This window comes from Homo sapiens, chromosome 1 (genome assembly GCF_000001405.40).
Source record: "Homo sapiens chromosome 1, GRCh38.p14 Primary Assembly".
NCBI lineage: Eukaryota > Metazoa > Chordata > Mammalia > Primates > Hominidae > Homo > Homo sapiens.
In genome coordinates, this window is record NC_000001.11 from 6,261,962 (window position 1) to 6,274,029 (window position 12,068).

Below are 12,068 nucleotides of genomic sequence, written 5' to 3' on the forward strand. Positions count from 1 at the left end.
CTGGAGAGGACGCCTCCTGAGGATCGTGCCTGTCTTTTCTAGAAAGCACCTGACCACACACACAATGGGCACAAGGCCTCTGGGGCTGCCTGGCATAGTGTCCTTCCGTGCCTCTGGGACACATCCATGACTAGGCACCCCTGTGTCTGGAGGAAACTAGGCACCCGACCAGGAGGAGACCCAAACCAATTGCAGCCAAAACGGATGCTTGGAGCTTGCCCAGTCCGGGCAGGGCTGCTCCACAGCCTGCACCTGCCTAAACCGTCCCCACACCCCAGGTCCCTGAGCAGCTTTTAGGGGGCCCAGGATGGGTCTTAGGGTCCGTCCCATGAGACAAAAAGAGGAGTGTCTGTAGAGAAAGGCCCCGCAATAACGTGTGGGGCTGAGCAAGGGGGAATCTGGGGCCATGCACACCTATACTCCCTGTGGTTTCTCGGGCAGCCAGGGCCCTCAGTGTCCCCAGTGAGCCCTCTGTGGACAGGTTGGCTCCCCCTCCAGGTGGTCCTGGTTATAAATAGGCCACCAGCAGTGGGAGGCTGGCACAGGGCAGCTGTAATCAAGGGTGGTGTTTCTAAGTGTCTCGCCTGTGACTCGGGGTGAAACGGTAGAAACGCCACACTTAATTACATGGCCACCGAGAGCCATGCCGCTTAGAAACACCACGGTTAAGATTGCACACACAGCCATGGAGAGCCATGCCTCTGTCTGGGCCTGGCTCCCCTCTGCCAGCCCAGCTGACCCACTGCCTGGACCAGTGCCTCTGCCCGGCCTCAGCTGGCTCTAGGGCAGGTGGGAGATGGCCTCTGATGGCCGCCCCGGGGCCCTGGCTTATTTCGTGCTGTGCTGGGTTCTGCTGCAAAGTGCCCGGTGCCCCTGGGAGGCGGTTTTCAGGTGCCTGGTTTGCCCAAAGCCACACGGATGAGTGGCTGAGCCAGGACTGAACTAGGGAGTCTGATGCGGGGCCCAACTTCAAGTGAAGGGTGTGGGTGCTTTGGGGAACTGGTCCCCTCAGTGAGCCCCTGGGCTCAGGCACTGCTGTGGCCAGCCCTGGGCCTTCTGCTAGCTGGGAAGGGTGGCCTCCTCATTGCTCTGAACCCAGGGCACCATTCTGGCATGGGTCATGGGTGGAGCTGGGGGCCGAGGCTGGCTGAGGCCAGCCCCGGGGGGCCAAGGGGCATGGTGGCGTGGCAGAAGCTTCATGTGGCTGAGCTTGTCCCTCCCACCTCCAACCCCCTCCCAGACAGGAAATAACCCCGTCAGCCGTGACTGGGGCCCGGGACAGATTCCCAAGCTCTTGGCTGGTGTTTCTGCACATCTGGAGCCGAGTCCTCGCTCTCCAGGGGCCAGAGGGAGCCTTGTGCGAGGCCGCAGCTGTTGACGGGCCAGTCTTCTCCAGGCGGCAGGACAGATGTTGGGGCTTCAGGGACAGACTGAATTGGGAACATTCTCCCAGATGCCACTTCTGGGTGTGCTTGATTGGAGGGCCTCCTTTTCAGCCATGGATGCAGGTGGGGTCCTGGTCCCTGTAGTGGCCTTGGCTGGGCCAGATGCACAGATCAACCCTGCTACACCGATACCCTCACCACACACGTGCTCACAGATATGCAGACAGATGCACACGCACATGCACAGATATGTCAGTGACACGTATGCCCACAGCTTCACACCAACGGCACTGACACACATTCGTGCTGTCCCTCAGACCCCTGCCCTATAAGCCATCCCAGCAGACTCCTGCCTGAGTGGCTGGGGGAGTTTCCACGTCAGGCACAGAGTCCTGGCGCCAGCTGGGGGGCTCCTTCAGACAGGATTTTGGGGTGTCTAGGCAGTTTCTAGCAAGAGGCTGGGTCAGGGTGGGGCTCCCACACGCTGAGCCAGGCCACATTTGGCTCTTCCCACACCATCACCTCGCTGAGTCTTTCCCAGCAGCCCCACCCTGTTCATAGGAAAGCCACACAGGCTCAGAGCCGGCATCCTCTGCAAGCCAGACAGGGGGGTTGTGGGGTGCTGGCACTCCCACCAGGCAGCGTGGCCCTGAGCCCACATCCTCCCAGCATCTGGGCTGCCTATGAGGTCCAGGGAGCCAGGGTGTCTGGGGCCAGGACACCAAACCAGGGACCCACGGGAAATGGGCATTCATAGCCAGCAAGTCACCAGCCGGACACCAATCGGTGTGGCTGTGCCTGAGGTTCTAGGGTACATGCAGGTGCTGGTGCTGGGAGGGCTGAGACTGTCCACGGGAGCCCCAATGTCCCACACCCCCTGGGAAAGCAGCCCCCCCAAGACAAATGACCACCCAGGACACGTGGGTCCAGCCAAGCAGCAGCTTTATTAGTGGTGCTGGGTTCTTCCCATACCCTACAGCGTGCTCGGAAGCATTCCCGAGGGTTTCTGCCCAACGCCTCCCGGCGCTCGGGACAACACTGTGTAGCATTGATACTGGAATGATATAAATAAAGCTTTGGTGTGTAGGTTTGCAGGAGAGAGTACAGGTTAACACTGTGATACGAAAACTTCAGACAACACCAGCTCTCAATGTGAATTGGGTTTTTGGCCAAGGGGGGAACTTCTAAGTGACTGGACACTGGGCCCGTTGCCATGGCTACTCGAGGCACCAGTGGCAGGAGGAGGGAGTCTAGGGCTGAGGCTCCGCGTGGCCCTGTCGCTTCGCCTTCATCTGCAGGTACCGCCCTTTGCCTTCCTCAAAGCGCTTCTTCTCGTCCTCGGTCTCGGGCTGTGGACCACACACAGAGACAGGCAGGTTAGGGTCACTGCAGAACCAGTGCCGTGGCCTTGTGACCTGGCCTGGGGCCCTGCCCCCCACCCGTGGGATCTGCCCCACCCCTGGTGCATGCTGAGTACCACGCCTCGGCCCCGCTGGCCTCCTGGGACTGCCGGGTAGCCCAGGCATGGGGCTCATGTCCCACCTCGCTGATGGGCCTATTGACTGGGCTGGGTATGTTCAGCCAAGATGCTTTGAGGGGCCGCAGGAGCCACAGGTGGCAGAGCTCCATAGAGGAGACACTAAGGGCATGGCGGGTCAGAAGCAGTCAGTGAAGTGCCGAGCCCTGTGACATCCTCTCACCACCTTTCACAGCAGGTGACCTCCAAGCCCAGGGCCTGTTTGCTACTGGACTTCGGTGGAAAATGCACTTGATAATGAAACATGGGAGCTGAACGGAAGTGGAAAGGAAGAGGGACCCTGCATTCGCTGCACTCCCAGGAAAGCTGCACACAGTCACCACCCCGCAGAGAAGTGGGGAAAGCCAGCTGCACACGGTCACTGCCCCAGAGAGACGTGGGGAAAGCCAGCTGCACACGGTCACCGCCCCGGAGAGAAGTGGGGAAAGCCAGCTGCACACGGCCATTGCCCCAGCGAGAAGTGGGCAGATGCTGTGCTGCCTATGGCCTTGAGAAGGCCCCGCCCCGTACTGGGAGCAATAGGCCTGCTTTGTTGGGAGGGAGCCCTGTCACCACGCTCTGGACCGTACACTCAGGAGGCGGCACCTTGGACCCCAGGGACCCCATCTCATTGGTCTGGGGGCAGAGCCAACTGAACAGGTGGGATTTGGCCCAAGACGGGGTTCTGCCCAGGACGGTCCTGGTTCATGCCTGTCGACGGGCTGCGATTATGAACGGCACCCCCTTTCACTCTGTCTTGTGGCCCCTGGGCAGGTGCCACCCCTGGAGTATTAGGTGGTCACTTCTGATGTCCCATCTGTCCCAACGCCATGTTCTGACTGGCCCCACCCTGGCTGGGAATTCAGGTTTAATGAGCTGTGCTAATTCCTCTGGGACATTTCATCGCAACATTTTGAGGGTGTCTGAAAGCCAAAGAGATGGGGCAGTTGCCCTTCATTTCATCCACAATGACACCAAACTGTACAGCTATTTTTGGGCCTAAGTGTTTCATAGACAAATGGTATATTGGCAAGAGAGAGCGCAGTCAGCCAGAGGATGTAATGTCAAGTTATACCAAATGCCTCCTCCCCTCAGCTCTCTCCAAAATCAGTCTCTAAATGTCACCAGGTGTAAACTGTCAAAACCTCGCCGGCCTGGAGCCAATGGAATCTTCGGGTATTTAAAGAAATAGGTGGCGCTCCTTGCAGCGGTCCTGGTCCCCCTTTGAAGAGTCTTCGGTGTACACAGGAAAACTGCTTTTCCAAGACACTTTATTGAAGAAGTCCCTCCCGCTGCTACGGTTTGATCTCTGGCTGACTTTTAAAAATAAAATTTGAGGCTATGCAATTTGACCTGAAACAGTCCAGGGAAAATGAAATGTTCTTTCTCAGTTCCAGCAGCACTTCTCAGTGGGCAAGACCCCTGAGCTTCCTGGGCTTGGAGGGCACAGAGCGCAGCCCCTGCAGATGACAAGCTCCCCTGAAGACATACATGGCTACATCCTGCTGGGCACAGCTGAAGACCTCTGTGCACACTGAGGCAGAATGTGCTAGATCAGGGCTTCTTGAACTTTTAAGTGCATCTGAGTCATCTGCCAGTCTTGTAAATGCAGATTCTGATCCAGTGGGTCTGGGAGCTGAGACTCACTTCTAACAGGATCCCAGGTGACACAACGCTGTGGCCCGCGGACCACATCTGTGTAGCAGGGCCCTGCCCCCTTTCCATCTGCCGCTGCCCCAAATGGGGCACATCTGAAGTGGCCAAGAATGCAAGGTCAAAGCCACCAGGATGGGATATAGGGGCCTTGTCCTCCCCTTCCCCTGTGGAATTGCTTGGTGATGTGGAGGGAAGCTGCAGCTTCTTGTCTGCCTGCAGCGGCAAGGCCGAGGCTCAGCAGAGGAGCGGCCGCCCACAGCCTGGCTTCCTGCCTACCTTGAAGACCCTGTAGCAGGCAGAGCAAGAGCTGTAGGGTGGGCATGGGGTCCCAGAGCTGGGCGACAAGGCAACAGGACCTGGTGGGGTTGGTACTGGGTTCTGCTGGCTTTGGAGTGGCTGTGGCAGCCCTGGGAGACATCGGGTTGGGAGCAGGAGAGCTGGGGACGGGCAGGCTGGATCGCACTCAGGCGCCTCCCAGTCTGAAAGCCTGGCCCCTCGGCTCGGGTCCTCCCTCTAGCTGGTGGAGTATCTGCCCTCCACAGAGAGGAAAGACGGCAAGGAGCTTGGAAAGAAAAAGAATCCTTGAAAGCAGGAGAGAGCGAGCCTGGCCCAGGAAAGGCAGCTGGAGTGAGAAGGGACACAGCTGAAGCCCCCACCCAGCCCACAGGAGCCAGGTCCGGCCTGAGGAGAGGCAACTTCCTGGGAATGTGCAGATGTGGGAGACTGGCGAGAAACTTGGTCCCCAAGTGCCTGAGTCCCCAGCCACATGCTCTCAGGTACCAGAGGACCAGGAGGGGCCAAGAGAGGTGGCAAATGGCTCTGCGGAGCCAACGCCACCAGCTTAGGAGCTGTTACCATGGGTGTCCTGGGGGGCTGGTGGGAATGGCCCGTCCAAGGCCAGGGCCCTGGAGAGGGGCTGAGGAAGGGCTGCCAGGTCAGGAGATGCCTGCCTGCCTGCCTGCCTGCCTGTCTGTGTCTGCAGATCCTCTGGGCTCCCTCCCCAACTCCACTGGGAGATGATGCCTCTCTGATGGTCTGTACCAGGCAGGTTTGGGGATCTATGCACTAAATGGCCTCTTACAATAAACAATGCACACTGGGATGAAGGTTCTGAAACGTCTCAAATCTGTTTAACTTTCGCCTTTCTCAAACTGAGCTGGCCAGGGATCCCTTTCATAAGGAACCAAGCTCTGCCCCGCCTCTGGGATGGGCTGCTTCAGGCAGAGGCTTGCCCACCTTGGGACCCAACCATGCTGTGTGCCCTTCCTGGGATGGTCTCTTCATTCCGCCTGGAAACCAGCCCAGCATCTTCAACCCTGGAGCCGGGTGTGAATCCTGATTCACCACTGACTCACATCGACTCCTCTTTTGTAAAATGGGCCAATGTCCACCTCACAGCAGAGTTGCGGGGACCAAATTTCTCCCTGCAGCCCATGTTCAACCAGGCATTAAAAACAACACAGTGAAAGAAGCCGGTCACAGGGTCTGCCTATCACCCATTTACACGAGATGTCCAGGAGAGACATATACACAGAGGCAGAAAGTGGATTGGCGGTTGCCTGGGGCTGGGGGACCAGTGGTGGCTAAGGGGTGGTGCTTCTTTTTGGTGAGATAAAAGGTTTTGAAATAGACTGTGGCGGGGGATGTCCACCTCTGTGAATAGAAGAAAACCTGCTGAATCGTATCCTGGAAGTGGGTGAACAGAACGGCATGTAATTACATCTCAGTAAAGCTGTTAAAAGAGAAAACCTCCACAGTTGAGAGCTCTCTGTGGTGGGGGAGTAGTCAGGGCTGTCAACGCATAAGACTGGCCCTGAGCTAATAACTACACAGGAATTCTTTCTTCTCTTTACTTTTGCGTATATTTGACCTTTTCTATAATTAAAAAGCTAGAAAAGCAAAAAACTAACTAGACCTAGATCTAGGAAAACCAGCCCCTCCTTTCTTCCCTAGGCACCAATGATCTCCAGGCCCCAAAGAGACGGGGACTTGGCTTTACAAGCGGTGGGCTGCGGGCAGAGCTGAGGGAGCCGTCTGGGCTGTGCACAGGCGCGATTTTCCCCACTCCCCGCCAAGAGGCGCTAAGAGCTAACTCAGGACCATGCTCCTTCTGGTCCAGTTCATAGGTGTGTGATGGGCCCCAGGCCCCACGCACGCGGCACGGCCCGAACGGCAGGGAGATCTCCGCCCAAGAGCGAGAAAACCTCCAGGGCTTCATACAGCCCGGTCCTCACCTCTGCCAGCCACACGCAGCAGTGGAGCGGAGCCCTCGAGTCCCCTAACGATCTGGCCTCCATGACCACCTGGGAGTGGAATAGGAGTAACTTCCTACAGCTCTCGGCATCTTTACCAGAGATGTGACCACAGCCCTCCAGCCGCCGAGGGCGTGGGAGGACCACCCAACTCTGGGTCTGCAGAAGGCACTGCAGACGAGAGCCCTCCCACCCCTTTGCCCCCACATGGGCTGTGCACGTGGGGCAGGGACTACAGCGATAAGGGGATATTCCCTGCGCAACCCATGCTTAGGGCGCGGCAGGCTGTGCACATCAGGGTCTTCCCAACAACCCCACCAAGCAGCACAGAAATGATTGTCCACTTTTACCAATGAGGAAGTGAAGCACAGACAGGCTGAGTAACTTGCCCAAAGTGACACAGCGGGTAAGGGGAGAGCCTCCATTTAAACCTGGGCATGGGGGCTGCCCTCCAGGTCGTCCTATGCCGAGGGACTTTTAGGGGTGGGACTCGTCCATGGGAAGTGAGGAAGGCGATGGACCTGCAGCGTGTCCACGATGAACCAGGGTCAGGGGCTTCCCTGCCTCCCCTCACCTCACCCCGGCCCTCGGCACAGCCTAGGAGCACTTGCTGAGCTTGGCCTCCCCCAGGCGGGGGCCCTGCCCTGCCCTCAGCCATATTATCCCAAACCACTACAGCTGCTCCCACCCCAGCGGCCACCAGGCCATCGAGCATTCCCAATGCCACAGGCCGAGGGCTGTGACTGCTTCTCTCGAGGTCAGTTAATACACAGCCTGAGGCGGGCACGAGCCCAGGTGCAGGTCATTCTCAGGGTCGGCTCCAGGCTGAGGGAGAATCTGGTGCCCAGCAACGGGCCCCAAGGCGGCTCTGATGTGGCCCTGCTCTTTAATATTTGCAGCAAACTCATCAGCCAGGCTCTGCCCTCAGACAAAGCAAATGCTGTCTGATGATGGATGGATGTGTGGGAGCCTGAGAGCCTGTGAGGGCCCCACTGCTCTTCCCGTCTCCCGGGATGGTAGTATCTGCTGGATGTTCCAGGCTCTGAGACAGAGTCCAGACCAGCCCAGGAGCCTCAACGTCACTGCGTGGAGTGCCCGCCCATAAGCGCTGCCCTCCCAAGGTGCGGGCGGCCTTCCTCCCTGAGTGCCCAGGGGCGCCCTTCCAGGGTGAAGGTTTATGAAGATGGCAGTCAAGGGCAGGGATGTCCCAGGTGCCTGAGGACCCAGGCTCACCACCCAGGGGGAGGTGGAACAAAGGGCCGCGGGGCGGTGTCTGTCCCATGGTAGGTTACGGGCTCACTGCTGGTGGGCAGCCAGCCTCCCCAGGTCATGGCTTTGCTAAATAGTTCTCCTACCCAAGTGACAAAGGGGCCACCCTGTCCCGCTGGGTGAGAAGCTGACAGAGCAAGACAGATGTCTCCAGCACAAGGCCCCACCCACGGCCCGGCTGCTGCCTCCTCGCAGCCATCTCCCTCCACCCAGCAAAGTAAATAAATGCATACGCTGTTGGCTGTTGCTGTTTTTAATGGAGGGTTGGGGGTGGGTGGAGGACGAAAGAACGCTCTGCGGGAAGACAGATGTCTCTCTCAAGTCCCCGAGGCTGCTGGTGGGGGAAGGACTGGAGCCTCTGGGGCACTGGCCAGTGGTGCCAGCTGCCGGGCACCCACCTGTGGCCTCAGGCAGGCTCCTCCGAGCCTCTGGGGCTCCCCAAGAATATGCCAGAGAGAAAGGATGAGGTGGCAAAGGGCAGCTCAGGGCACATGACCCCCATGTATCCCGGGCACCTGCCTGATGGAAGGGATGGGGCAGCATGGCCAGGAGCAGGACTCTGAGTCCCACGGGCCCAGCTGTGTGGCCCAGGGCCAGGTTTGTTCACCTGGAAACAGGAACTCAACAAAGTGACATGGCAAAGTGCTTCCTATGGTGCCGGTGCACGTGAGCTCCTACGTGTGTGTGCACATGTGTCTGCGGTCCCTGGTGCATGTGTGTGTGTCTGTGTGGTGGTCCTGCTGTCCTCAGAAATACCTGAGGCCAAGTGCAGCCTGGGAACTGCTCCAAGGACTGTCCTGCTGGTGTGTGGCTGCCCCAAAGGAGGGCCAGATGGCCCGGGGTCACCTTAACGCAGCGGGCCCTTTAGGATGTCACACCCACACATGGGGACGCAGGGGTGGGGAGGGTCCCAAGGTAGCAGGTTGACAGTACGCTCCCTCCCTGGTGCTCAGGGAGCACCGCCTGGCACTCAGCACCAAGCCCCTGGCTCCCCTGCAGCCTAGTGGCTGCCTGGGCCTGGGGTCTGCATCTTTTTCCTCCCTCCACTTAGTGCTTCCTGCCACTGCTGTCTTCTGGGCTCTCTTCCACTGGAGGGGAAGCCTGTGGCTTTCAGAGCCAAGTGCTGCAAACCAAATGTTTTCCACTTTGCATTTTCTGTGCTTGGAGAACACACATTTGGAACATGGTATGGAGGACGAGTGACTAAGTTCCACCCTCGGTAAAATCAATAGCTTGTCCTTTTTGTAATTAATGAATGGCGTAAAAAGGGTTTCCAGTGGTGATATAACAACTTCCTGTAAGCCTGAGGGACACAGACCTTCTTAATTAGGAAGCCACGTAGCATGCCCTCTCCCTGTTATAACAGGAGACAAGAGGGGTCTTGGGATAATCACAAAAGCAATGAAAACATCTCATTATTGAGGACACTCAGCACGGCCGGGCGAGGGGCCTTGTGCATGGAGAAGCCAGCAATGATGAGCTTAGCACCAGGACCACCAGCCTCACAAGCACCTGTGCCCCCAGGGTCTTGCTCCACCTGAGGACCTTGCCTTAGCGGAGCCTGTCCGCCATCCGCTGTGGCCTCTCCGCCATCCGCTGTGGCCTCTCCCAGCAGCTGCAGGCCTGGGTTAATTACCTCCTCCTCCACACCCACCCAGGACTGCACCAGCCTCCAGCAGAAAGCAGCCGGAAGTCTCAAATAATGAGATCATTGTGGAGAGTCATAAACACCCTCACCAGGGGCTCCCCTCACCCAGCAGCACCGGCTCAGACTCCGAAAGAACTGCCCCCAAGTGGGGCCAAGAAAGGAGGCGTAAAGGCCAACGGGAGGCTGCTGGCGGAGGCAGGGAGATCGTCACCACAAAGGGGAGAAAAGGCATTGGGACTTGGGCCTGGGTGGTGGCCTCTCAGGAGCCCCTCCTGCAGGCACGGAGTGCCGTGGTCCCGGGACGCTCGGCTCACAGCTCTTGTGCCGGAGTGTGGACATGGCGGTCCCCACCCTACAACACCAATAATGATCATAGCTGTCACCTGCTGAGTGCCCACTGTGGGCTAGGCCTGGGCCAGAAGCCGCGTGCTCATGGCACACCTCTGCTGTGCGTGTGCCCACTCTGTGCTATGCCCTGTGGAGCCCTTCCTGTCCTGCTGGAGGCCAGCACCATGCCTGGACATAGCAGGGGCACAGGAGGTGTTTGCTGGATGGATGAATGAATGAATGAATGAATGATCAAACAAATGAAGATCAAAAAGGCTTAATTCTAAATAGGGATGGTCTTTATGTTAACAATTCAAAACCAGTACTTCTGCTCAATGAACACTGGCATCATCTGTCCCCAATCAATTCCAGGGGGCTCAGACCATGGAGGGTCTGAACAGGAGCCTGCAACAGTGACAAAGATGAGATGAGAGTGTCCAGCACACCTAGGCTTGGCCATCCCCCTGGAGATGGGCCAGCTCTGTGGCCATGCTGGGGACTTGCTTCTGATCCTGCACACACAGGTGGGGAGGGCTCTGCATCCTTTCTACCACCGTGTGGGGCACAGGGCCTGTTTCTTCCTGCACCTTTGCTTGCAGGGCTCAAGATGTGTGTCTGGCCGCAAAGAGCCTTTGCCAGGACACTCCACACCCCTTGCTGAGAGCGCCGAGCCAAGTGGGCGGCCTCCAGCCCCAGGATACTCCAGGCATGAACTCGCCCTGCTGAAAAACTCCAAGTCCCATGGCCAGGACCTCACATGGGCCCAACAACCTTTCCAGGCCTCCCTGACAGATCTCTCGCTCACCTTCCGCAGCACCCTGGGTCTAGCCGGGATGCTCCCTCGGTTCACTGAATCCTCTGGAAATCCCACCCACGGGCCTCTCCTGGTACAGCCCCCCTCCTGGCAGTGCTCACTCTGTCCGTGTCACAAATCTGACAGCAGTGGGGACAGAGAGGCCCCAAGGCTCCATCCCACACTCTGTTGTATGCCCCCCAGGCCTGGCTCTGAGCAGAGCCTTCTGTAAACCTCCAGGGGGAGAACATGAGCAGCTCACTGTGCCCAGGTGGGTTTTTAACCCCCCGCAGCCGGTTAGGCCACAGTGGCATCAGAAGAGCTACCTACCAGTGCCGCTCAGAAGGGCCAGTGTGTGGCTGTCTGGACACAGTGGATCTTTCAGAGATATATGCAGAGCAGAAACATGAAAGGTGGCTGGAGAAAGAGTCTGGGCTCAGGCAGAGGGAAGGCGAGAGCCAGGCTGGAGGGGAGGGCTACATGCTCTCATCTGCGCCAACCTCCTTCTCAGCACCCATGCTCGGGTTCTAGGCACATGGGACTCACTGGCCACCGGATGTTCCTAAGCGCTAACCAATGAGGCGACAGGGGCAGCTTCAGGATGCAGGTATTTTCCCATCACAAGACTGACTCCCGCTAAATGCAGGCAAAAGGAACAGAGAGCACGACACTGGATTCTGAGCCTCATGAATATTCCAGTCCATGACTCACGCCTGTGGGCTGGCAGCAAGGTGGGGGCAGGAGGGGGGCAGGGCTTCCCTCACTAATGGCCAAACGCGGCAGGCGGTTCACCAAGCCCTTCCAGGAACACACCGTCAACCTTCTGCACTCCAGTAACAGCTGAATTTCCTAAATTAGTCAACAATTAAAAAATTATTCCAAAAGTCCAATCTTGGCCAAACAAACAAAGGAAGCCAGTGTAAGAGCCCGCACACGGGCGCAGCGGTGCCCATCCCAGGGCGAGTGCAGAGGCTGCGCGCGGCCACCACACAGTGCTTCCGCCCACTCTTTTGCTAGTGAAATTCTCTGGGAGTAGGTGCGGCCCCTCCCTGCCAGCAGGAGCCTGTGGCAACGGGGTGTCTAGGATGTCGAGGCAGCAGAGACCCTAGGGCCCTGCCCCGTGACAAAGGCCCCACGTGGGGACCTCTTTCTCTGTCCTACATCCTGGGACCGGACCTCTCTTCTTGTCCTGGTCCGGCCTGGACACGGTCAGGAATGGCCA

The 12,068-nt window shown here is 58.3% G+C and overlaps 1 protein-coding gene across 5 annotated transcripts in view, besides 3 other annotated features; it reads right to left on the reverse strand.

Annotated features, from left to right (window-relative positions):
* Window positions 2,311-12,068, reverse strand: part of ACOT7 (acyl-CoA thioesterase 7) — a 129,496-nt gene continuing 119,738 nt past the window's right edge. For all 5 annotated transcript variants that reach the window (NM_007274.4, NM_181864.3, XM_047443399.1 and 2 more), the window contains exon 9: window positions 2,311-2,734. In NM_007274.4, the coding sequence (NP_009205.3) occupies window positions 2,636-2,734 (99 nt within the window). In that variant the 3' untranslated portion in view covers window positions 2,311-2,635. The remainder of the gene's footprint in view (window positions 2,735-12,068) is intronic.
* Window positions 7,718-8,309: an enhancer, noted in NCBI's record as "H3K4me1 hESC enhancer chr1:6329739-6330330 (GRCh37/hg19 assembly coordinates)". NCBI's record gives its function as "activates a minimal SCP1, AML or CMV promoter by ChIP-STARR-seq in naive H9 embryonic stem cells {active_cell/tissue: H9 hESC(naive)}" and the evidence as "EXISTENCE:reporter gene assay evidence [ECO:0000049][PMID:30033119]".
* Window positions 8,310-8,900: an enhancer, noted in NCBI's record as "H3K4me1 hESC enhancer chr1:6330331-6330921 (GRCh37/hg19 assembly coordinates)". NCBI's record gives its function as "activates a minimal SCP1, AML or CMV promoter by ChIP-STARR-seq in naive H9 embryonic stem cells {active_cell/tissue: H9 hESC(naive)}" and the evidence as "EXISTENCE:reporter gene assay evidence [ECO:0000049][PMID:30033119]".
* Window positions 11,662-11,828: a silencer, noted in NCBI's record as "fragment chr1:6333683-6333849 (GRCh37/hg19 assembly coordinates)". NCBI's record gives its function as "represses an EF-1alpha promoter that drives an FKBP-Casp9 reporter gene in an ReSE screen in phorbol 12-myristate 13-acetate-treated (for megakaryocytic differentiation) K562 erythroleukemia cells {active_cell/tissue: K562(+PMA)}" and the evidence as "EXISTENCE:reporter gene assay evidence [ECO:0000049][PMID:32094911]".